At 34.3% G+C, this 26,007-nt stretch overlaps 2 protein-coding genes across 2 annotated transcripts in view; both read right to left on the bottom strand.

Annotated features, from left to right (window-relative positions):
• Nucleotides 1-1,307: 1,307 nt before the first annotated feature.
• OR8G5 (olfactory receptor family 8 subfamily G member 5) lies at nt 1,308-11,156 on the bottom strand. Its single transcript, NM_001005198.2, has 2 exons — nt 10,898-11,156; nt 1,308-2,614 (listed from the first exon to the last, which is right to left on the bottom strand). The coding sequence occupies exon 2, from the start codon at nt 2,598-2,600 to the stop codon at nt 1,665-1,667; it is 936 nt and encodes a 311-aa protein (NP_001005198.2). The 5' UTR covers nt 2,601-2,614; nt 10,898-11,156; the 3' UTR covers nt 1,308-1,664.
• Nucleotides 11,157-13,167: 2,011 nt separating this feature from the next.
• Nucleotides 13,168-26,007, bottom strand: part of OR8G1 (olfactory receptor family 8 subfamily G member 1) — a 13,270-nt gene continuing 430 nt past the window's right edge. The window contains exons 2-3 of the mRNA NM_001002905.2: nt 19,652-19,731; nt 13,168-17,872 (exon numbers count right to left, since the gene is read on the bottom strand). Coding sequence (NP_001002905.1) covers nt 16,921-17,856 — 936 coding nt within the window. The 5' untranslated portion in view covers nt 17,857-17,872; nt 19,652-19,731 and the 3' untranslated portion in view covers nt 13,168-16,920. The remainder of the gene's footprint in view (nt 17,873-19,651; nt 19,732-26,007) is intronic.

Raw genomic sequence — 26,007 nt, 5'->3', positions numbered from 1 at the left:
TGGAAACAGTAACCAAGACTTCTATGCTTAAATATTTAATGCCATTTCTCTGTAAGTCTAAACAGCAGAATAATTCCCCCTACGCCAGCATGGGTGAAGTTATTTTCTGTCCTGGGAATGATGGTCTAGACTGTGTTGTTTGGGCCCCAGACATCACTCTACCACGTAATTTGTCATGTTGTTGTATTAGATTTCAAATCTGTTTTAAAATACTTGAGTTTCTTATGCTGCCTACTTAAATTTAAGAATAAATTAGATTTGTTTCAGGGACTCCTTGGTTGTCAACAGGATTTAAAGACTTACAAAATCAGGTACATGCAAGTTATCATATGTGTGTGCGATTTACCACATAAGGAAGTCAAGGCTAATAGTTCAAACTCCTTGTATAGAAACAGCTAAAGATGTTACCAGGTATCTTACAGATCCTTAAAGAATTCTTCAAACTTAAACATAACCAATTTGAACAAAAAACAAACAAACAAATGCTGTATGTAGTACTTGAAGTGGTTAATGAGTGACAACTGTGTTGGATATGTACTTGTTTTCATATAAATATCTTATAGGGAGGAAATAAATATTAAAAATTTATTGGTCGGGTGTGGTGGCTCACGCCTGTAATCCCAGCACTTGGGGAGGCTAAGGCGGGCAGACCGCGAGGTCAAGAGATCGAGACCAGCCTGGCCAACATGGTGAAACCCCATCTCTACTAAAAATACAAAAATTAGCTGGGCGTGGTGGTGTGCTCCTGTAGTCCCAGCTACTTGGGAGGCTGAGGCAGGAGAATTGCTTGAACCCGGAAGGCAGAGGTTGCAGTGAGCTAAGATTGTGCCACTGCACTCCAACCTAGTGAGAAAGCGAGACTCCATCTCAAAAAAAAAAAAAGAAAGAAAAATTCAAAGGCCTAATATGTAGCAGGCACTCAACTATGAATTGGAGATGTAGCAGTGAACCATATGTCCAAGGGATTTCTTTCATGGAGGTTACTGTCCAGTACAGGATTTAAAAACGAGTAGGCAATTAACAACTAGAATAATAGATGGCATAGCAAGGGTATACTAGATTGGGAACAATTAACTGCATGTACATGGATCTGTGATTCAGATTTTAAAGTTCTGATTAGATTTTGCCTTTAAGCAGGAGAGAGAGGAAATAACCTCAAAGAAACATATATGGGATGGGATAATGTGTAATAGGCTTTTCTAGGCTAAACATGTGCAAACACTAAAGATTACAGGCCTACCATTGCTATGGCTTATGCTGTTTTTGAGTGGATAGAAAAAAAACAGATTGCTAGTCATCACCGCATGATAGTATTTTATCACCAGAAGATAGTGTTTTTATTATGTTGAGGAGTATGTTTTAATCAATTACATGAAAGAAAAGGGGGAAGGGAATGTAACTGGCATTATCAGGTTATGCCACTATTTCACTATGTCAATCTTATTATTTCTTCTAAGAAAATATCATGTCTTCGTAATCCTTATGAGAGAAAAAATGAGAGGGAAATGGCATGAAATAGACCATGTGCATAAGACATAACGTCAGTAAAATCCCCCCAAATTAGAAAGAATGTTGACAGATGCACTAAAGTGAAAGACATCATTTCATACAATATCATAGCCAAAAACTTAGATCTAATGCAATCTTTTTCATTGTACTTCTGTTCATAAGAATGTTCTTTTCCCTAGCGTTTTCTTCAGGGCAACGTGGACATCTTTATTCCTCAGGCTGTAGATCAGGGGGTTCAGCATGGGCACAACAATAGTATAAAACACAGAGGACACTTTCCCCTGGTCCATGGAGCTGACAGATGATGGCTGCAGGTACATGAATGCTGCAGACCCAAAGAAAACAGAAACAGCCGAGATGTGGGAGCTGCAAGTGCTGAAGGCTTTGGACCTGCCCTCAGTGTAGCGAATGCGGAGGATGCTGGCAATGATGAAGATGTAAGAGCTGAGGATGGTCAGGCTGGGGACAAGGATGTTAATTCCACTAAAGATTAAAATCAGTAACTCATTAATGTAAGTACTAGAACAGGAGAGCTTCAAGATAGAAATAAGATCACAGAAATAATGGTTGATCACATCAAATTTGCAGAATTGAACCCTAAACATACAGCCTATATGAGCTGACGCACAAATCAGGCCTATTACATACACCACTAAAATCAGAGAAAAGCAAGCCTTATTGGATATGATGATGCTGTACAGCAAGGGGCTACAGATGGCCACGTAGCCGTCATATGCCATTGCAGCCAACATGTGACACTCTGCAATAGCAAAAACGAGGAAGAAGTAGAGCTGAGTCATGCATTCAGGGTAGGAGATGATGTTCTTCTCTGTCACAAAGTTCACCAGCATCTTAGGGGTAATGACAGTGGAATGGCAGAAGTCAATGAAGGACAGACTGCTGAGGAAACAGTACATAGGTGTGTGCAGGTGAGAACTGAGCCCAATCAGTGTGATCATGCCCAGGTTCCCCAGCACTGTGACTACATAGATTCCCAGGAAGACGAGGAAGAGGGGCAGCTGTAGCTCTGACTTCTCTGTTAGCCCAACCAGAATAAACTTAGTCACAAAAGAATGGTTTTCTGCTGCCATTCTTTGATGAGTTTCTGCAGGGGAGAGAAAAAACATGGTATTTAGGTGAATTGTATTGTTATTCTCCTTTTGTAGGAAAGTGATCCCTTGTTTATATATGATCATTTAACTCCGGTTCAATTAACTGAATCATAATTTATCCCAATTTAGCATGTAGTAATCTTTATTTTCTAGTAACTGGTATTCTATATGATAATATTTTACCTATGTTTATAATAATTAAAAACTTTGAGTGTCTATTTTGTATTTTGAATATTTCAATGATCTTCAAGTCAGTATTTTTAAGCTAATACTTGCAAACTTAAATTCTTAGAGAAGCCAGTGTAAATAAGTAAAAATGGCTGAGTGACAACTTGGGGAGAACAATCCCTGTCTACAGACAGTAACCTCTAATAACCTGAAACTAATTTCTGTCAGGGATGAACAGAAATCTTATTATTGTCAGACTTCAATGTTTTATGTAATTATCAAGAAATCCAGATTTGTACATCAAACATTCATATTTTCAGACATTATTAAAATGAAACAACATTTACAATGATCATTGTGAATATCTATCTGCTGCAGTGGCCATAATTATACAGTTTGTCATCTCTGAGCTACAGGGAAGTATCTCTGACATCCCTTGAGGGAAACAGAATGAGTAGTTGTTGAATGGACAGGCTCTAAAGTCAAAGTGCTTGTATTCAAATTCTGACCCCGTCATTTACTAGCCAATACCCTTGAGCATGTAAAATAGCCTCTTTGTGTCATGACTTTCAAATCTGTAAAAGAGAACATTATTAACCTATTAATAATAACATTTTCAGACTCATAAATCAGTAAGTGAAGAAGGTCAATCTTATGTTGTTAATGTCTATTAAGCGTGTAAAAATGGGAAGATAGTAAGAAATTACTGATTTCAATGTACAGAAACAGCAATCTTACTACCTCAGTATTTCCTTTGATTTTCTTCAACTTTTGTGAATTAGAAGGGAGTAAAAAGTAGAGACACACAATTAAAAAACAGAATTACAAGTGTGATCCCCTTTCTGTTAAACAGTGAATAGATGATGTAGCTATTCCATTCACTAAAGTTACATTTCAAATGAATGAGTCAAATTATTTAAAAAAATACAAAATTTAGAAAATCTATACATTTCTTAACACATTTCTACACCAAAATAAATCTGAAATAAATCAGACCTGAGCATAAAACTAACTATAAAACTTCTGGAAAAACAACTGATAAAATCCTTGATATCTTGGAAAAGTTTATGATTTCTTAGAAAGAACATGGATTAAGCTGGAAACCATCATTCTCAGCAAACTATCGCAAGGACAAAAAACCAAACACTGCATGTTCTCACTCATAGGTGGGAACTGAACAATGAGAACACATGGACACAGGAAGGGGAACATCACACACCAGGGCCTGTTGTGGGGTGGGGGGAGGGGGGAGGGATAGCATTAGGAGATATACCTAATGTTAAATGACAAGTTAATGGGTGCAGCACACCAACATGGCACATGTACACATATGTAACAAACCTGCACATTGTGCACACGTACCCTAAAGCTTAAAGTATAATAAAAAATAAAATATTTTTTAAAAAGCAAAAGAACCAAAAACTAACAATGTTTCGATTATATTTCATCAAAATGAAAACAAAATTAATGACATTAAGAAAATGAAATGGCAAGCTCAAGGTAACACATATGCCTGACAGAGGACTTTTATCTAAAATACGTAAATAACATATGCAAATAATAGTACACAGACAACCAAATATTAACTACTAGTGAAATATCAGAAGAGCTATCTCACAGAAAAGATATATGACTGGTCAGTAAGTTTATGAAAATATATCCAATGTTTTTAGTAATCAAGGAAATGAAAATTAACACCATAATGAGACACTACAAACCATGATAGAATAGAAAAAACAAAACAAAACAAAAACACCTGAATATATCAAGTGTCAGGAGCATCTCTACTTGTCATACAAAGCTGGCAGGGAGTGTGAAATTGTTCAACTGTTTTGGAAAAGAGTTTGCCAATTTCTTATAAACTTAAACAGACATTAAATAAATCCAGAATTCTGCCTCTTAGTATTTACCCAAGAAAAATGTAAACATTTGTCTACATAAAGATATGTACAAAAATGTACATGGCAGCCTTATTCAAAACAACCATAAGTTAGAAACAACCTCAAATGTTCATCAACAGATGAGTAGATGCATGAGTTGTGGTGTGTGTGTATGTGTGTGTGTGTGTATATGTACATATATATAAAACTGAATACTATTGAGAATTTAAAAAGTAAATATAAATCACAAATACGTTTAACATGGATCTCAAAAACATTATGTTTCTTTGCAATAGATTTTCCACCAGAAACCCCAAATGTATAGAAGTATTCACCAGTGTAGCTCTCTAGACCTACAGGATTTTGTGTGTAAGAAATTTCAGTAATGGAATGAATTTATTTAATAGATATCATATATTCAGATTTTATCTTTCTTTTTAGTTTTCTTAAATTGAATTTTCAATTCAGTTGCTTACTTTACAAATTATGAAACATTTTACATTATGTTTTTCATAATAATTAACATTTAAAAAATATTTGTAGGCTATGCAAAATTTTTTGCTTCTTCATTCCTGAATCCAATAAATTAAGGTTGTCTTTTTGTCTTGATCATTCATGCTAGAAGTCTGTCAATTTTATTAATCAATTTAAATAAGCTAACTTTTTACTCTGTTGATTTTAACATTTATTTTTATTTAAATTATTTCTAATAATTTATTTTATTTTTATTCATTTCTTTAGCATGATTTCCTGTCCTTTTCCTAGATTTTTGAACTGAACCTTAATCAACATCTTCCATTTATAGTCTTTTGTAATATGTGCATATAAGGTATAAATTTCCCTCTCAGCCCTACTTTAGCTACTTGTCACAAGTTTTGATATATCAAAGTTATGATATTATACAGTTTAAGACACTTTATAATTTCTTTTTTATATTTGTGTTGTTCCGTGGATTATAGAAAGTAAACTGTTAACTTTACAGAAGTCAGGCTTTTTAAAATGTCTGTCTTAATTTCATTGTAGCTAACAAACATACTCTGAATCATTGAAGTTATTTCAAATTGCTGAGATTTTCTTTATAATACAACATATCATCAGTTTTCATAAATATTCCAAATGCATCTTAAAAGGATACATTGCCTGATATTGAGGTCCCTTAATACACACATTTCAATGATGTTCACTTCACTAATTATGTTGTTGAGGCATTTAATATGCACAGTGATATTTTTGTCTGATGTTCTAACGGTTAGTAGCTAAGTATGTCCATGTCTCTCACTAAAATTTCTGATTTTTAAATTTCTTCCTTTAGTAGTTGAATCTTTACCAAAATCTTTATTGCTATGGAATGCAGAACTTTATATTTAGTAATGTGTCTTGCTTAAATCTTCCTTCGTCTCTTGTTAGCATTTTTAGCATTGTTAGGCTATCACAATATTTTTTTGGTTAATGTTTGCACAGCATACTATTTTTCACTCCCTTTCATTAGATTTTCTGTTTCCTTATATTAAAATTTATTTTTGAAAGAAGCACAAAAAGAATATCATGTGAAATAGCAACAAATTAGCACCAAATACCTCAAAATATAAAGCAAAACATATACAATGACTATAGGTTAAAACTTTTAAGTAATCTTAAATTAGACAAACTTAAGTCTCCATCAGTGGATGGATGGATGGATAAAGGAAATGTGGTACACATACACAATGGAATACTATTAAGCCAAAAAACGAACGAAATCCTGTAATTTGATGGTTAAGTGAAATAAGCCAGGCACAGAAAGACAAATATTTTATATTCTTACTCATACGTGGAAGCTAAAAAAGCTGATCTCATGGAGATAGAGTAGAATGACAGTCACTGGTGGCTGGAAAGACTGACTGGGTGTGGAAGTATGAAGAGATATGGATTAATGGGTACGTGACATACAGTTAGATAGAAGGAATAGTTCCTAATGTTCAGTAACACAGTAGGGTGATTATAGTTAACAACAACATGTAGTGTATTTTTAAATAGGTAGAAGGTTTAAAATGTTTCCAACACAAACAAATGATAAATGTTTGAGGTGATGAGTATCCTAAATACCCTGATTTGATCATTACACATTGTATGCATCTATCAAAATACCACAGGTACCTCACAAATATGTACAATTATGTATCAACTAATTTTTTAAAAACCCTAATAAGAGAAGAGATTTACCATATCTGTGGATAATAAGACTCACTATTATAAAGATATTAAGTCTCTCAAACTTATGTATAGATTTAACATAATTCAATTGCTGGATATAACATCTAAACAGATGATCGATATGTTTAAAAAATATATCAATATGTAATTCTTTTTTTAACTTTTAAGTTCAGGGTACATGTTTAGGTTTGTCATATAGGTAAACTTGTGTCATGGGGGTTTGTTGTACAAATTATTTACTCACCCAGGTATTAAGCATTGTACCTATTAGTTATTTTTTTCTGATCCTCTTCCTCCACACATAGCTTAGCTGCCACTTATAAATGAGAACACATTACATTTGGGTTTCCATTCATGAACTACTTCACTTAGAATAATGACCTCCAGCTTCATCCAAGCGGCTGCAAAAGTCATTATTTTGTTCCTTTTTATGGCTCAGTGGTATTCTATGGTGTATACTGAAATTTTAAAAAATTATTTAAAGACAAAAAAAATGCATGACTATGAAAAATATATCAACAAATTCCTGAAGAGAATATTTAGATACTGCTGTTTATGTCTGAGGATTTATGGAAAATATCATCTCAGTGCAATATCAAAGGGGAGTCAAGATATTGATTCTCAAAAGTTAACAATTATTGTACTCTAAAAACTCAAGATGGATATTATAGCCATTATTCTCTATATCCCTTTCTCAACATCTGTATATAAGATCAGTAAATGCCTTGCTTTCTAGAATACAGCTCGTCTCAATCAGATAATTTTATATTAACACTAATATTTCAATTGCTTGGTGTGAATGTGCTATAGACACAGTTCATCTTCAATTTATACAGGCAGGTGGCACAGGCTTTCAGAATATATGCTGGATAAGATAGAGTTATGGGAGGCTTGTTGCTTTACAGTCAGATGTAGAAGAAAATATTTGAACACAAAGAGTGTTTGTTGATTCAGGTATTTCCCAATATGATTGATCATCACAGTCATCTAGGGAGATTGAAGTGTTTACAAAAAAGGATTAATGTAAAAATGTAAACATGATTATAATGAAAAACAAACGTTCCAGAATCACCTCCCTATATACTCTATCCTGTTCCCCAGACACTAATCTCTGTAGAATAGTTCCAACAGTGTCTGCTTCTAGTTCTTCTGAAGTTTACTGCTATAGTTCTAATTTGTTCATATTGCTATTTGTAGAATTAATAACTTTGAGCATTAAAAACTTCCAAACTGCATGTGGTTTTATTTTAGTTAAACTAGTATTGCTACCCCCTCTCTAATTCTGATAATTGATAGTTGTATTCTAGTTCAGATATCTTTTAGTAGCTTCTGAAACTTTGAAAATATTTTCAAATCTTTGTCAAATTTCAAATTTTTTTCAACTCATGTGTAAATATCCTGTTTGTGTTGTTTAATATAGATTTGCTACCACTCTACCAGATTTAGTGAATCAGAATCTTTGATGTTGAGGTTTAGAGATCTGACCTCTCTGAAAAATAAAATAAAAACACACAAATGACACTTCTAAATCAATGATGATGATCATCCAGGTTTGAGAACAGAGTTGAAACAAATTAAAATGTAGCAGGGAAAATATTTATTAACTTCTAAGCTTAGTTTAAAAATTAATTCTTCCCATATAAGATATCTGGTTTGAGTGTAGTTTATATAAAAGCATAAAGGCATTTTAAAAAATAATCCAATGGAGTCCATAGAATAATAGATGATAAAGCAATTGAAAATTCATAGCTTATTTATTAAAAAACAATTTCTAGAGTATGATGAGCCATAATCTCAATAAGATCTACGACATAGCTTCCCAACTCATGTGCCATGGACTTAGAATGTGTTACAATGGTGCTGAAGTGCTGGTGTTTAGTCCTTGGGGCAATGAAGAGAAGTCTGTGGCATCCAGAGCCTCTTAGAGGTCAGCATTTGCCACAAGCTGGGGTAAATTTCTTACCCCAGATGCTATGCAAATATTACCATCTTCTATGGGCACTATGAGGTTGGCAAGTACTATTCTATGCCTATCATATTAAATTTTGAACTTTATGTTTAATTATGAATGTCTTTTTTATTATTATTATTATTTATTTATTTATTTGAGATGGAGTCTCGCTCGCTCTTGTTGCCCAAGTTGGAGTGCAGTGGTGTGGTCTCGGCTCACTGCAACCTTCACCTCCTGGGTTCAAGCAATTCTCCTGCCTCAGCCTCCTGAGTAGCTGAGATTATAGGCGCCCGCCACCACGCTCAGCTAATTTTTGTATTTTTTAGTAGAGACAGGGTTTCGCTATGTTGGTCAGGCTAGTCTCGAACTCCTGACCTCAGGCGATCCGCCCAACTCAACCTCCCAAAGTGCTGGGATTACAGGTGTGAGCCACGGAGCCTGGCCATGAATGTCTTTTTTAAGGAGGAACATTGACAAGATGAAAGTTGTATAGAAGCTGTGAAGAGCTTGGAAAATATTTAAAGGTAATGAAATAATTAGCAGACACTTTTATACATTGAAAGAGAAACAAAAGAGAAGAGGTGTTTATTTTGTGTATGGTGTTTGACAGACTTAAGAATACACCCTTTAGATGTTGAAGATGCTAGCCAGAGAGGAGATAATTCAATGGGGAAAAGTCTCAGAGAAGAAGAAAATAATGGGATATGGAGTACGTGTACAAGAGCTAGATTTAGAAAGGAAGGACTCTCCTAAGAGAGAAGAGAGGTGATGTTGGGGTGCAGAAGATGATTCCCCAAAATATGGCACTCTGGCATGCTGAGTGCTTTAAAAGGCCTTGGAAATAAGCTTCAGAACCAAGGGCTGTTTCTGACCTTCTCCCACCTCCTTGTCTCTCAGATCCTCTTCCCCAAAGTACTGGGTGGGACTCTTTGGAATTTCCTTATCTAACTAAGCTTCTTTCCCAAAGAAATGCAGTTGTCTTAAGACCCCCTTCTTTGGAATCCAGGAAAGATAACCAGGAAAGATTAACCACCAGAGAAGAGACTGGGAGTCATCACCATGCACAGACAGACTTTTCATCTGCTATTCTCAAGGCAGCTCCAAGAGATTACCTGGGGGACTTTATCTGCATAATAAGACAACCTGTGTCCCCATGCATTTCCACCCCTCACCTTCCATAACTTGTCCGTCTCATCCAGCTTCCAAAGATAATCATTTACAAAATAATGTCTACCTCTTGCGTCCACACATCTCTCTTCCATGAAGAGAGTATTTAAGCCTCAACCACCTGGTCCTTCTTGGGTTTCATACTTAGTGTATGACTTCCATGTATATACACATTAAATAAATTTTGTATGCCTTTTTCTCCTATTAAAAAAGAATACACCCTTTAATCAATATAAAAATATTCTAATAACTTGAGATCTTAAAAAAGGAAGAGGCTATTTATTTCTGGCCATTAAATATATTTAACCACAGCATGACGATCCATCTTCAGAAAAATTAGGGAAAAGATTTTCTTAATTTATCTTATGATTAAAAACAAATATCCACTATCTCTCATCTCTTTCTACTCTTAGGTCTTGTATCTTCCTCCTTTGTGAGAGAAATATTTGGCTTCATTCAGTTCCTGGAATTTGTCACATTCACTTAGCTGTCTGACTTTTTGTTTACTGTTCCTTCTACATTAAATAGTCTTACCAATTACACTTTCTGTTGTCTGGCAAACATTTGTTTTCTTTCATATCTCATTCAAAACTATAATAATCATAGAACCATTCTCCAATTCCTTGTAATTGATTGGACCTTTCTACTGCATGCTCAGAAAATTCTAATTTCTAAACAGCACATTTTTAGACTGAACTGTACTGTAAGCCAGGCTGTGGATCAGACATCCTCTCTTCTGTATTCCCAGTATTAGCCCATATCTGGCAAATCACTGAAAGTTTAAAAAGTACTTTTAAGAATAAATGATTGATTAAATGAATGAACGAAAGTATTCACAAATATTTCCTACAGTTTTTACAGTGATTACTTCTAGACCTAATAGCATCAAATCATAAGTGTGAGATGAACACACTCACCTTTCTTTTGCCTGAAACCTCAGTTCCAAATTTTATTTGCAACTTGCTGTCTTTGACTTGGAGAATGGCACTAATGCTGCTGTTGGAAGTCATAGGTACCAAGCCAGCGTTCTGTAGTCTTTAGTCCTGAGACTGCAAAGCACAAGACATCTCACTCACTTTTGAAATCAATCTGCACCGCTGATCAGCATCTCCAGTTGTCACTTTTCAGTTGTGTTTCTCTAGCTCTAGCACACATCCTCCCCTTTTACAGTGGCCTGAGCAGTTTTGATTGCTAAACCTGGGTTTAGATACGCCAGGTACCAAATATCATGCAGACAAACATTCTCCAAGGATTTCCATTTCTCTGGGAACACAAGCTCCTGAGAAAAGAAGCAATTACTGTTGGCATTTACCCAATTGTCTAATTTTTCTTCAGGGGAATTTTTGTCAATTCTAAACTTGTCGATTAGCAATAAAGATTTGTGCCTACTGGCAATAAAGGATTTTGTGAAAAGGTATATTCTGATCCAGCAAGTCTGAGTGCGGTTTGAGATTCTGCATTTCTTAGAAACTACAAGCCAGTACTATTTGTTCACAGCCCAGACTATTATTAGCTGATTTTAGAGGACCAAGACACTTCCTGAAAAGTTATATCTTACTCATATTAGTGTTAGAAATTTTAAAATAATAAATCAAATCACTGCTTGACAGATCTCATGCTTATATTTCAACAGCTTCTCCAAAACCAATGAACTATCTTCCTTTGTTGCTAAATTGAATATTTGCAGGAAAGCAATAAAACAGCCTAAATATAATTCATGTAATCCTCCATTGTGGCCGGGGAGCAGTGGACTGTGATTGATCTACACTATTGTACTTCATGGTTGAGGTGGTGAAAGTCAAATTCAATACTGGTCAACAGTATAATGTGACTTTTAAAAAAGACTCAATATATCTTTAGTCTTCACTTGCAAAAAAAAAAAAAAATGGTCCTAGAAAATGGAATTGCTTAGTCTTATTTAACACTCAACAATAGTTGGACTACTGTTTAGTTTGGAGTACCATAATTTTGTGGGGTATAGAAAAACTGGAAAATTTCAGGAGAAAAATGTTCTGGAAATTTTGTCATTTGAAGATTGTCAGAGAGAACTGAAGATATTTAGCTAGCACAGTAATACTCTGTTTGACACATGATAGCTATCTTCAAATATTCAGCATATTCCTATATTTAGGAGATGTTGAATTCATTTTCTTCATGTCTAAGAAATTGCTGTAATACTAACTGCTAGAAACTATGGTAAGACACATTTTGTTTCACAACAAAGAAGAGCATACAAATACATCCAGAAATGGAAGCAGTTACCTTAATGTGCAGGACTTACAACCAGAAATGTTAGAGCATAGCCTATGTAACCACTGAGCAGATATTTTTCAAGTACACAGTACAATATGAGTAATTGGGTTAAATCATTTTTAACATCTCTTCCAGTTCTAATATTTCATGACTTGATATAAAAATTCCAGTATATCCTGATATTCGGTTGGACAGTCCTAGGTTCAAATCTCAGCTTAACTCCATACTTGCTGTGTGACTTTAAGAAAATCACTTCCACCAAGAAAAGCTGGCCATAACTGGGCATTAGGAAGAGGCATGAAATTTTCCTCAGAGCTCTCAGGAGGAACCACCTATGCTGACATCTTGATTTTTTGACTTCTAATTCCCAGAACTATGAGACAATAAATTTCAGTTGTTTAAAGCTGCCCAGAGTATGATACTTTGTTACAGCTATTCTAGAAAATGAATGCACTGTAAGACATGGAAGTTTTTATTTTCATTGACCTCTACTAACTGTATTAAATATCGTAATGTACTCATAAAACACCAATGCTTGGATAATTTTAGTTTGAGGGCTAAATGAAAGCTTCTGGTAGATGTTGGTGTAAACACAAGAGGTGTTCCTAGGGAACTGCACAAAGGAGAAATGATAAGGTTTTCTTCTAAAAATAAAAATGTTGAGGAACAAAAGAAACACATGCACTGTACAGGTTATTTTAGTTCCATATATAGACTAATTAACTTGTTTGGAAATAAAGATTATTAAACTTTTTACTCAAAATATTTATTAGTATTATATCATTTTGAGATAATAATTTACAATAGATTTTCTTAATCAAATTTGCTTTGAAAGAAAATATTTGCAAACCATACATCTCACAAGCGATTGATATCCTACATATATAAGAAATGCAAACATCTCAATGGTAAGAAAACAAACAGATTTAAAAATAGGCAAAGCATCTAAATAGACATTTCTCAAAAGAAGACATAAAAATGGTCAACAGGTATATGAAAAAGTGTTCAAAATTACAAATCATCAAATTGCAGAGAAACTACAGTGAGATATCACCTCATACTTGTTAGGATAGTTACTATCAAAAAGAGAACGGATAACTGTTGGAGAGGATGTGGAGGAAAGTGAACCATTACATGCTGTTTATGGGAATGTAAATTAGTACAGTCATTATGGAAAACAGCATAAAGCTTCCTCAAAAAATTAAAAATTGAACTACCATATGACCTAGCAATACCACTATCGGGTATATATTCAAAAAATACAATCAGCACGTCAAAGAAATATCTGCACTCCCATGTTTATTGTAGCATTATTCACAATAGCCAAGATATAGATTAACCTAGGTGTCCATCGCTTAGGAAGAATGGATAAACAAAATGTGGTATATGTGCACAATGGAATAATATTTAGATTTAAAAATTTGCAACAATACAGATGAACCTGTAGGACATTATATTACATGAAATAAGCCAGGCACAGAAAGACAAATACTACATGATCTCACATACATGTGGAATCTAAAAATGCTGAACTCACAGAGGTAGACAGTAGAATTGTGTTTATCTGCAGCTGGGCGTGTGGGAGGAGATGTTGGTCAAAGGATATAATATTTTAATTAGATAGAAGGAATAAGTTAAAAACTATTGTATAAATGGTAACTATAGTAATAAAAATCTATTGGATTAGTGTTCTCACCACACACACACAAATAAATATGTTAGGTAATATATATGTTAACTAGCTCAATTTAGGCATTTCGCTATACACACACACACACATTCAAAATAACTTGTACACAATAATATATACAATATTTTTTGACCATTAAAAGTTGTCAAAGTTTTTGTTTGTTTGTTCATTGGTGGTGGTGGTAGTTTGGGGGACAATCTCTCTCTGTCGCCCAGGCTGACGTACAGTGGCACAATCAAGGCTCACTGCAGCCCCAACTTCCTGGACCCAAGCAATACTCCTGCCTCAGCCTCCCAAGTAGCTGGAACTTCAGGCACACACCACCATGCCCAGCTAATTTTTGTATTTTCTGCAGAAATGAGGTTTCTCCTTGTTGCCCAGGCTGGTCTCAAACTCCTGAACAGAAGTGATTCACCCACCTCAGCTCCCCAAAGTGCTGGGACTACAGGCATGAGCCACTGCACTCAGCAAACATAAATAGTTTTCTAACGGACTTTAAATTATTGTTTTATCTTCATTTAAGCTGTTAATTTTTTAGTAATGTTTACAAATTTGAGTCAAAATGCGAAGAAGGAAAAGCTAATATTGGAGTATGTTATTGAAAAGCTGGTATGAGCAATGGTGGTTCAATTTTACCAGCACTTCCTCAGAAGTGCATATGATGTTTCCCAAGATGGCTGTCCTGTGTGACAGGATGATGTGGCATTACACACAATTTTCACTGTTACTGGGTAAAGGTGACCCCAAGAGCAAGAATTCTTTGAGCTGACTGTACATAAGCCAAATGAGCATCTGAAATTGTGGAGAAGTTTCCAGAGTGAAAGTGCAAAGCACTTGCTGGAAATTTGAAGTGTAACACCTTCAATGCAAGTTAACTCTCAGCTTGCACACAGCTAATAAATGTGCCTCAAGTCTGCTGAAATGAGAAACAGGAGGTAGTCTGAAAGAATGTGGCATGAGAAACCAAGGGTGTTTGGTATAATCATTAATAAATATTTGAGTGTGTATTCTCTACTCGAGCTTATAGTCCATTGAAGCAAGGGAAATGTACAGAGTAGACGTTCAAATGATCATAAAATTACCACAAGCAATGCAAGCTAAGAAGAAAAAGAGATAGTTTTTCTGAAAGAGAACATAAGGATGATATGGAAAAGTAATGCAGATTGAGTTTCAGAGATGAGTTTTCTGAGGAAATAACTTTAAGTCCCCTTAGCTTTTAGAAATATATTTTTTTCTAAGTCGGATCCTGGCAATTTTTTCACTAGTTATACTTAGATACACTAGTAATAGCAAATAAGTAATAAGTAAATAAGCTTAAAGAAATCATTTAACTTGGCTCCACATGGAAGAAATAGATTAACAGTTGAATCTTCCCAGACTCAGGTTAATAGAGTCCATGATTGATTGAGAATTTTCTCAGGCAAGAAGATCCAAATCTACTTGGTATGCTCAATTTTATACATGCCATGTTTTTAGAGTTCCCGGGAAATAGTCCTATTAACCTATGGCTCATTCACCTACACTCCCTTCAACTAAAAGGATGGACAAACTATAGTTTCGATATCCAGGAGCCTGTGATTAAATATATATAAACAGAGTAAGCTGCATTACCTGGAATCTGATCAAAGCAACTTAACCAGCCCCATCCAAATATAGACAAGTGAAATATTTCTTCTGGTTATAGAAACATAGCTTATTGTATTTGATCACGTAGCACCCTCACTTTCATTTTAAAGCAATTTTATTGAAGTATATTTTATATATCATAAAATTCACTAAATATCTACATAGCAAGGAATTTTCTCATTACCAGCACAGGTAAAATTATGTTCTGCTCTAGGCATAGAGAATTAAGGGTAGTTTAGACCATGCTATTCAGGTTCCAACTCTATCACCAGATTTGCTATGTTTACCCATCAGGCATCAAACATATTTTTTAACCTTCCTGTGCCACATGTTTGAAAAGAAAGAAAAAATAAGTATTGCTTTAGGGACTCCTTGGTTGTTGAGAGGGTTTAATGACTTAAAAAATCAGGTGTTAACAAGTTATCATATCTGCATTGGGATTTTTCACAGAACAAATACACATACATCTTAGCATAGAATAGGTCAGAATGTTACCAGTTATATTATAGATTCTTGAAGAACCTTCTAAAGTAAATTTTAATCAACTTGAAATATAAATTAAATTAGATTAGATTTAAAAACATATGTAGCTCTTCGAGAGATAAATAGATAAAGTAAGTATGACATACATATGGCTTTCCTATACTTAGCTTAAATGAGGAAATAATAAAAAAGCTTTCAAGGACCTAAGGTGGCAAGAACTATGATAGACGCTGGAGACGTGGCAATAAACCACATGTACGGGGGAATCTTCATGAAGACTGAAGTCCAGTGTAGGTTGAAGGCAAGTACAAACTAGAATAGGAAAATGCAAAGCAGATGATATATTGGATTGCACAATTATAACACATACACGGATATGTAACTTATATTCTGAAATTTTGATTATGTTGCTAAAGAAGAAATACAGCAGACAAATGAGGTAAATAGATGAATAAGGCAGAAAAGAGATTGCTGCAGGCTAAAATTACAGCTATCATATTGCAATAATTTATGTTGTTATTGAAAAGACAGAATAAGGGAGATTGGTATCACTTTTGGAAGATGGTATTTTCATTATGGTTGAGAACTGAGCTGAATTTTATCAATTGTGTAAAAGAAAAGAGGTAAGAACATGGGGCTGGCATTAATGAGTCTATGTACTCATGTCGATTTTAGTATTTATATTAATTTGTGTCTCATTGATACATATGAGTTAAAACCCCACATGGGAAATGACATCAAAGGGTCATGAAATGAAAAAATAATGGTAATATAATCTCACCAAATGGTAAAAATTATTGACAGATGCATTAAAGTGAAAGACATCCATTCATACAATGTAACAGTCCACTACTTAGGATTAATATATCATCTTCTTATTATTACTGTTTACAATAATGTTCTTCTCTGTAGCATTTTCTTCAGGGAAACATGGACATCTTTATTCCTCAGGCTATAAATCAGAGGGTTCAACATGGGCACAATAATAGTATAAAACACAGAGGATACTTTCCCCTGGTCCATGGAGCTGATTGAAGATGGCTGCAAGTACATGAATGCTGCAGATCCAAAAAAGATTACAACCGCCAACATGTGGGAGCTACAAGTGCTGAAGGCTTTGGACCTGCCCTCAGTGGAGCGAATGTGGAGGATGCTGGCAATAATAAAGATGTAAGAGCAAAGGATGGTCAGGCTGGGGACAAGGATGTTAAATGCACCAACACATAGAATAAGTAGTTTGTTGACATAGATACTAGAGCAAGAGAGCTTTAGGAGGGGAAGAAGATCACAGAAATAATGGTTAATCAAATCAAATTTGCAGAATTGAACCCTAAACATACAGCCTGTATGAACTGATGCACAAACCAGGCCTATTATATACACCCCTAAAATCAGAGAAAAGCAAGCCTTATTGGATATGATGACACTGTACAGCAAGGGGCTACAGATGGCCATGTAACGGTCATACGCCATTGCAGCCAACATGTGACACTCTGCAATAGCAAAAACGAGGAAGAAGTAGAGCTGAGTCATGCATTCAGGGTAGGAGATGATGTTCTTCTCTGTCACAAAGTTCACCAGCATCTTAGGGGTAATGACAGTGGAATGGCAGAAGTCAATGAAGGACAGACTGCTGAGGAAATAGTACATAGGGGTGTGCAGGTGAGAACTGAGCCAAATCAGTGTGGTCATGCCCAGGTTGCCCACCACTGTGACCACATAGATTCCTAAGAACAGGAGGAAGAGGGGCAGCTGGAGCTCTGGCTGTTCTGAGAGCCCAGCCAGAATGAACTCAGTCACTGAGGAATTATTTTCTCCTGACATCTCCTCCAGTCAGTTTCTGCAGGAAGAGAAAAAACAAAACAAAAAAACCCCATGGTTGTGGGAGGGACTTTATTATTCTTCATTGAGAAAAGGTTCCCAGATATTCATGCTTTAGGTATCCCCTTTGAGTAAGTAAAGTTTACCTCAAATAATATTTATTTAATCTTATTTTCAAATATAATAAATGTGTTTCATGTAAAATATTTTAGCCATTTTTATCATTGAACACTTTCTAAGTATCCCTTTCTTCTTTTAAATATTTCAGTGATTTTAAGCCAATATTTCTAAGTTTAGACTCACTAACTTAAATATTAATATAAGCCAATATAAATGAGTTGAACTCATGACAACTTGGAGAGAACAAACCTTGCCTAAGGATGGTAAACTTTAATTACCTGAAACTAATTTCTGGGAGGGGTGAACAGAGATATTACTGTCAGATTTTTCCATTTTTAATGTAATTATCAAGAAATCTCGATTTATACATAAAATTTTCATATTTTAAAATATTATTACTATGAAACAATCTCTATAACAATAATTGTATAAATTTAACACGAGCTGGACTGGCCCACAGTTATCTGGTTTATGGTCTCTGGACCAAGCACTTCTGCCATTATTTGAGGGAAGCTGTGTTAGTAGTGGTTAAATGGACAGGCCTTAAACTCAAAGTGCCTATGTTTGCTTTCTGACTCTATCATTTACTAATGATACCCGTGGATAAGTTAAATAACCCGTTTGTGTCTTGACTCCAAATCTGTGAAAGATAAATAAAAATATTACCTACCTATTAATAAAATTGGCAGACTTATTAATCAGAAAGTAAGCAAGATCATCATTGTATTTGTTACCTATTCATATCCTGTCAATTGGAAAATAAGCCATTTTACTCATTCAAATTACAGAAACAGATAAAAATACCTCCATTTTTTTTCTCTTCTTTTAACTTTTGTGAATTAGGAAGAAGTACAAAAAACAGGCATACATTTAGAATATATGGAATTTAAAATATAGTTATTTATTCTGTTAAACTATGATCAGGCAAATTACTCATTGCATGTGCCAAAGTAAAATTCCAAATGGCTTAGAGTTAAATTACAAAGAATATTATATATGGAAAACCTAAAAATGTATATCTTACTTCTATAAAAAAACTAAAATACAGATATAAACAGAAAGGCTAAACTATAAAATATCTGGAAGAAAATGCTAGAGAAATTCTTTGAGATTTTAAAATTTAAGCTTTCTTAGAAAGGATACACACACACACACAGACACACATAAACAAAACCCAAAGCAAACAAACAAAAAACCATACAAATACTTAATTTGTATGTCATCAAAATTAAAAGCTGTTCTTCAAAAGATAGTATTAAGAAAATGAGAAGGCAATTCTATGGAAATACATATATCTGAAAAAGGGCTTTTATTCAAAATATAGAAATAATATTTACAATTAATATGAAGGCAAGAAAATTTTAAAAACAGGAAAATATCCGAACAAATTCCTTACAAAAATATGTATGAATAGTCCTTAAGTATATGAAAATATGCTCAATGTCAGTCATCAAAGAAATGAAAGTTAAAACCATAGTGATACAGCTCTGCACACCTGTATTGGAATGGGTTAAATGAAACAACTCCAACAATACCAAATGTTGGTGTGAAGTAACTGGACTTATAAAATTTGGGGGAGGTGTAAAATTGTCCAACCACTTTGGAAAAGATGTTGGCAATTTAGTATAAATTTAAACAGACACTGTGCAATATAATAATTCTGCTCCTCAGTACTTACCCAAGAAAAATGTAAACGTTTGTCTACATGAAGATTTATACAAAAATGTTCATGACAGCCTTATTCATAAGAGCCCCAAACTGGAAAAAACCAAAACATTATCAACAGATGAATACATAAATGAGATGTAGTATACACCTATACTACAATTCTCTCTCCCTCTCTCTCTTCCTCTCTCTGTCTTATATGCACACACACATAAAATATTACTCTATATTTTAAAAGGAACATATCACAAATACATGCAATAACACAAATCTCAAAAACATATTTTTTGGAATAGATTGCCCCAAAATACCTTAAATGTTTGGAAGTATTCACCAGTATAGCAATCTAGACTTACGGTTTTCTCTCTGTGAGAATTTTTAGTAATGGATTGAATTTATTTAATAGATATTACTATTCAGATCTTATCTTTCTTCTCAACTTTCCTAAATTTAAATTTGAAAATGCTTGCCCACTTTGCAAATGATCAAATATATTGTATTCTTCTTCTTTTTTGGTAATTGTTTCTTTAACATCTAAACATAATTGTAGACTATGCAGCGATTTCTTTTTTCTGATTCCTAAAATCAGTAATTTATGGTTCCATTTTTGTCTCGATCAACCATTCTAGAAATTTTCCAATTGTATTACTCAAATAAAGTAAATTAACTTTTGGGTATGTTAATTTTATGAGTGATATATTTATTTCTACTTTAGTTGTTTCTAAAAACTTTATTATATTCTTTACACATTTCTTTAGTATGATTTCCTATTTTTTTCCCTAACCTCTTGAAGTGGAAGCTTGAATCAACAATTCAACTTTTATTCTTTTCTAATGTGTACATATAAGTTATAAATTTCCATCTGAACCCCACTTTAGCTGGATCTCGCAAGGTTTGGTATACAAAATTTATGATATTATTAAGTTTAAAATATTTTATAATTTTTGTTTCAGTTTTTTCATCGTTGCAAGGATTATACAGAAGTGAATTGTTATCATTACAGATGTGGGGCCTTTTTTTTTTTTTAGCTATTTCTTTCAAAAATACATCTATTGTAATTTCATTGTAATCAATGAATACAATCTGAATTATGTAAATCATTGCAAATTACTGAGACTTTATAGTACACCATATGGTCAATTTTTGTAAATATTTCAGTACATCTTAAAGAATATGTTGTCTGTCTTTGGAGGGTCATGTGATCTATATATTTCAATTATATCTAATGCATTAATTATGTTGTTTAGATTTTTCTTGTGCATAGTGTTTTTTTTCTCTTGTTTACTATTCCAATAGCTATTTAGTGAGGTATGTCAATGTCTCCCACTAAAATTTCTGATTTTTATACTTCTTCCTTTAATTGTTCAATCCTTGGATTTAACCCCTTATCAATTACGATTTAGTAATGTATCTTGCCTAAACTTTCCTTTTTCTGATAGTATATCATCACTGATAGTGTTTGCAAATCACATTATTCTCCATTCTCTTCCATTTGATCTTTAGGTATCTTTACATTAAAATGTATTTTTAAGAAGCTACAAATAAAATACAAATTTAAAAATAGTATCACGTAAAATAGCAATAAGCTAGCATCAAATACCTAGGAATAAAATTAACAAAATACATGCAATGTTTATAGAATGAAACTTCCAAATATTTCTGAGAGAAATTAAAGAAACTGGATCCCTCCCTTACACCTTATACAAAAATTAATTCAAGATGGATTAAAGACTTGAATGTTAGACATAAAACCATAAAAACCCTAGAAGAAAACCTAGGCATTACCATTCAGGACATAGGCATGGGCAAGGACTTCATGCCTAAAACACCAAAAGCAATGACAACAAAAGACAAAATTGACAAATGGGATCTAATTAAACTAAAGAGCTTCTGCACAGCAAAAGAAACTACCATCAGAGTGAACAGGCAACCTACAACATGGGAGAAAATTTTCGCAACCTACTCATCTGACAAAGGGCTAATATCCAGAATCTACAATGAACTCAAAACAAATTTACAAGAAAAAAACAAACAACCCCATCAAACAGTGGGTGAAGGACATGAACAGACACTTCTCAAAAGAAGACATTTATGCAGCCAAAAAACACATGAAAAAATGCTCACCATCACTGGCCATCAGAGAAATGCAAATCAAAACCACAATGAGATACCATCTCACACCAGTTAGAATGGCAATCATTAAAAAGTCAGGAAACAACAGGTGCTGGAGAGGATGTGGAGAAATAGGAACACTTTTACACTGTTGGTGGGACTGTAAACTAGTTCAACCCTTGTGGAAGTCAGTGTGGCCATTCCTCAGGGATCTAGAACTAGAAATACCATTTGACCCAGCCATCCCATTACTGGGTATATACCCAAAGACTATAAATCATGCTGCTATAAAGACACATGCACACGTATGTTTATTGCGGCACTATTCACAATAGCAAAGACTTGCAACCAGTCCAAATGTCCAACAATGATAGACTGGATTAAGAAAATGTGGCACATATACACCATGGAATACTATGCAGCCATAAAAAATGATGAGTTCATATCCTTTGTAGGGACATGGATGAAATTGGAAATCATCATTCTTAGTAAACTATCGCAAGAACAAAAAACCAAACACCGCATATTCTCACTCATAGGTGGGAATTGAACAATGAGAACACATGGACACAGGAAAGGGAACATCACACTTTGGAGACTGTAGTGGGGTGGGGGGAGGGGGGAGGGATAGCATTAGGAGATATACCTAATGCTAAATGACGAGTTAATGGGTCCAGCACACCAGCATGGCACATGTATACATATGTAACTAACCTGCACATTGTGCACATGTACCCTAAAACTTAAAGTATAATACTAATAATTTAAAAAAAAGAAATTCTTAATAAGGTTAAGAAGTTTTCCTATTCATAATTTAATGACTCAGTGTTGCAAAGATATTAATTCTCTCAAACTTATGGATAGACTCAACATAATACAGTTCCTGAACAGAACATCTAAACAGATCATCAATATGTTAAGACACCAACAAAGCACTGAAGGGATCATTGGCTACTTCTGGTAATCTCTTTAGATTTATGAAAAAAATTCAATTTAGCCCGATATGGGAGTAGAATTAAGATACTGGATCTCAATATGTTATATTGTACTCCAGAAACTCAAGGTGGTTATCATAAATGTGCTAGCCTTCACACTCCATACCATTTTCTCCTTGAATCTGTCTTCACTTAACATCCTTACATAGGATCAGTAATTGCCTTCCTTTCTAGGATGTAACTTGTTTCAAATCAGGGAACTTTTTTTGTCATAGCCAATGTTTCAGTTGCTCAATATAGATGTGCCATAGACATAGTTCATCTTTATTTTATACAGGCAGGTTGCACAGGCTCTCACAACATGCTCATGAGTAAGACCGAGTAACATGGCTCTGTTGCTTTACAGCCAGATGTAGGACATATTTAAACACAAACAGTGTTTATCAATTCAGGGATTTCCCAATATGGTTAATCATCAGAGTCACCTAGGGAGATCATAGTATTCATAAAAATTGATGAATGTAAAAATGTAAATATGATTATAATTAAAAATAAAAGTTCCTGAATCACCTCCCTATGTGCTTAGTCCTGTTCCCTAGAGACATCTTAGTCTTTGTAGAATAGTTCCAGTAAACATTTTGTTTCTAGTTCTTCTGAAGCTCTTCCCACCCTGCTTCTCCATCTCTCTCTCCCTCTCTCCATCCTTTCCTCATTCTCTCTCCATCTCTCTCTCCCTCTCTCCATCCTTTCCTCGTTCTCTCTCCATCTCTCTCTCCCTCTCCATCCTTTCCTCGTTCTCTCTCCATCTCTCTCTCCCTCTCTCCATCCTTTCCTTGTTCTCTCTCCATCTCTCTCTCCCTCTCTCCATCCTTTCCTCATTCTCTCTCTAGCTCTTTCTTTTGTTATTTTTTAATTTTTATTTTAAGTTCTGGGATACATGTGCAGAATGTGCAGGTTTGTTACATAGATATACATGTGCCATGGTGGTTTGCTGCACCTATTCTAGCTCGCTCTTTTATTCAGCCATCATTACTGAGAGACAAGGGGTCGAATACTGACCCGAAGCCAAAATGCATGAAAAGTAAAATGACACATTCCCTGCTTTAATAGAACTCTCAATCTAATTCTATCCTGTTAACAATGTTTTCAATAATTTAGTTAAGATTAAAATGGAAATGAGTGATCATTTAATGTACAGATAAAATAAAACTGGAAGAAATAGCCAATACAATGAATACGTGAATTGATTGTTTATACAACCCAACAGGACTGTGTTAAGAAGAAGAGAAATACTGTTGTAGAGACTTGATACTAAGTCTAATATTCACCATAATAAGGGATGATGTGTCAATTATTTCAATAACTGAAGTAAAGTTAGAGAGGCATGCAACTTTTGAATGGTTTCCCGAACGAATTCAGAGCTATTCTGTTATATATACATTTAAAAATGTATTTTCTATTATTTATGTGTCCTCATGTGATCACTATAGGATCAATATGAGGCTCTGAAAAATACTTTACATGTACACAAAATATAGTCTTCTGTTAATACAAGAACAAATAAAAAATATAGGGCTCCTGGTCTATTATGTTTACTCCTGCGTGTTAAAAATTGGGTATATATGACAGTAGCAATAAAAGGTCTGACCAAAGCCAGCTAAGTAGGGTTATAAATTATATAATATCAAAGAATAAGGTAAGGTCACTGAACATCATGAATATCAAAAGCATTTTTCTCTACTTTTTTAGTCATTTACGTTTTTGATTACTTTAATTGTAATCATCATAGTAGGGATTACAGCTGGGAAGAGTTCTATGGAATTAAACTGTGAAACTTTCTTTTTGTGAGTTATACATGGATTTGGGAATTGACAATTCCCCATGGTATGGTCTACACACACCCTTTGGTTAACAATATTCCCAAGTTACTGTAACTTCAGTCCTAAAATATTATGACAACCAGCAAAATGTGGTTGGTTCTAGACACTGAAAATAGCTAAAAAAAACAAGCTAAAATTGAGTGAGAAAAATACTTAACTTCCAGTCTTAGTTTAAATGATTAATTCTTTATGTACAACATATCTGGTTTGAATACAATTCATAAGAAAACATAAAAGTGTACTTCTGTATTAACTAAATGAAGTCCATAGAATAGTGGATGATGGATAAAGCAAGGGGAGATTCAGATTTCATTTATAAAAAAAATAATGGCTAGACTATGATGACTAGCAATCCATGTAAGATCTGTAACATAGCTTCCAACTCATATGCCATGGAACTGAAATGTAGGGAAAGGTTCATAATGGTTCAGAGGTATTGGTCTGTAGCCCTCGGGTTCTCACAGATAAGACTGTGGCATTCAGAGCCAGTTCACTGGTCACCATCAGCCACAAGCTTTCTCATCCAGTAACTTCATTATGCCATATTAATATGACCATCTTCTATGTGCTCATGAGGTTAGAAAGCACCATTCCACACTTATCATATTACACCTGGAGTCCATCGTTTTCCAATGGATATATTTTTAAAAGAAAGACATTGATAAGATGGAAGGCACACAAAAGCTGTCAAGAGCTTGGGAAATATTTGCAGGCAATGAGATAATTAGTGAGCATTTTCATGTATCCTAAGAAGAGCAAGGATAAGCTTTAATTTTGTGTGTGGCATTTGAAAGATTTATGAATACATCTTTTAATAAATGTAACTAACCTGCACAGTGTGCACATGTACCCTAAAACTTAAAGTATAATAATAATAAAAATATATAAATAATTTACTACTGAAAAAAAATAAAAATAAATGTAAAGGAAAATATTCTAGTATTTGAGTTCTTAGAAGTTGAATGAGCTACTTATTCCTGGTCATAAAATACACTGGACCAGAAATCAGATGATGATTCACTTTCAGGGACACTGATGAACAGGTTGCCTTAATTACACTTAGGATAAAGTACACAGATTCATGCTATCTCTTGTCCCTCTTCACTTTTAGTTCCTGTGATCCTCCTCCTTGGCTACAGGAACACTTCGCTTCTTTCAGTTCCTAGAGTCTGTCACATTCACTGAGCCTTTTCATTAGCTATTTCTTTTACATTAGATAGTCTTACCAACACCTGTCTTTCTGATGTCTGGTAAATATTTACTTTTCAAATCTCATTTAAAATGAAGTCATCATGTAAATATTGTCCAGTTTATTGTAATTAAGTTGATCTTCCTACTGTAAGCTCCAAAAACTCTGATTTCCAGACAGCACATTTTCTTTGACTGAGTTATTCTATAAGCCCAGTGATGGACCCGAGCTATTCTCCTCTGTATCTCTAGTA

The sequence above is a fragment of the Homo sapiens genome, chromosome 11, assembly GCF_000001405.40.
Source record: "Homo sapiens chromosome 11, GRCh38.p14 Primary Assembly".
In the NCBI taxonomy this organism is placed as follows: Eukaryota; Metazoa; Chordata; class Mammalia; order Primates; family Hominidae; genus Homo; species Homo sapiens.
The sequence above is the reverse complement of the archived record's forward strand: the minus strand, read 5'-3'. Positions and strand labels throughout refer to the sequence as shown.

Excerpts from the sequence above, each read along its gene's own strand:
- OR8G5 (NM_001005198.2), bottom strand. The coding sequence starts at position 2,600 with ATGGCAGCAGAAAACCATTCTTTTGTGACTAAGTTTATTCTGGTTGGG.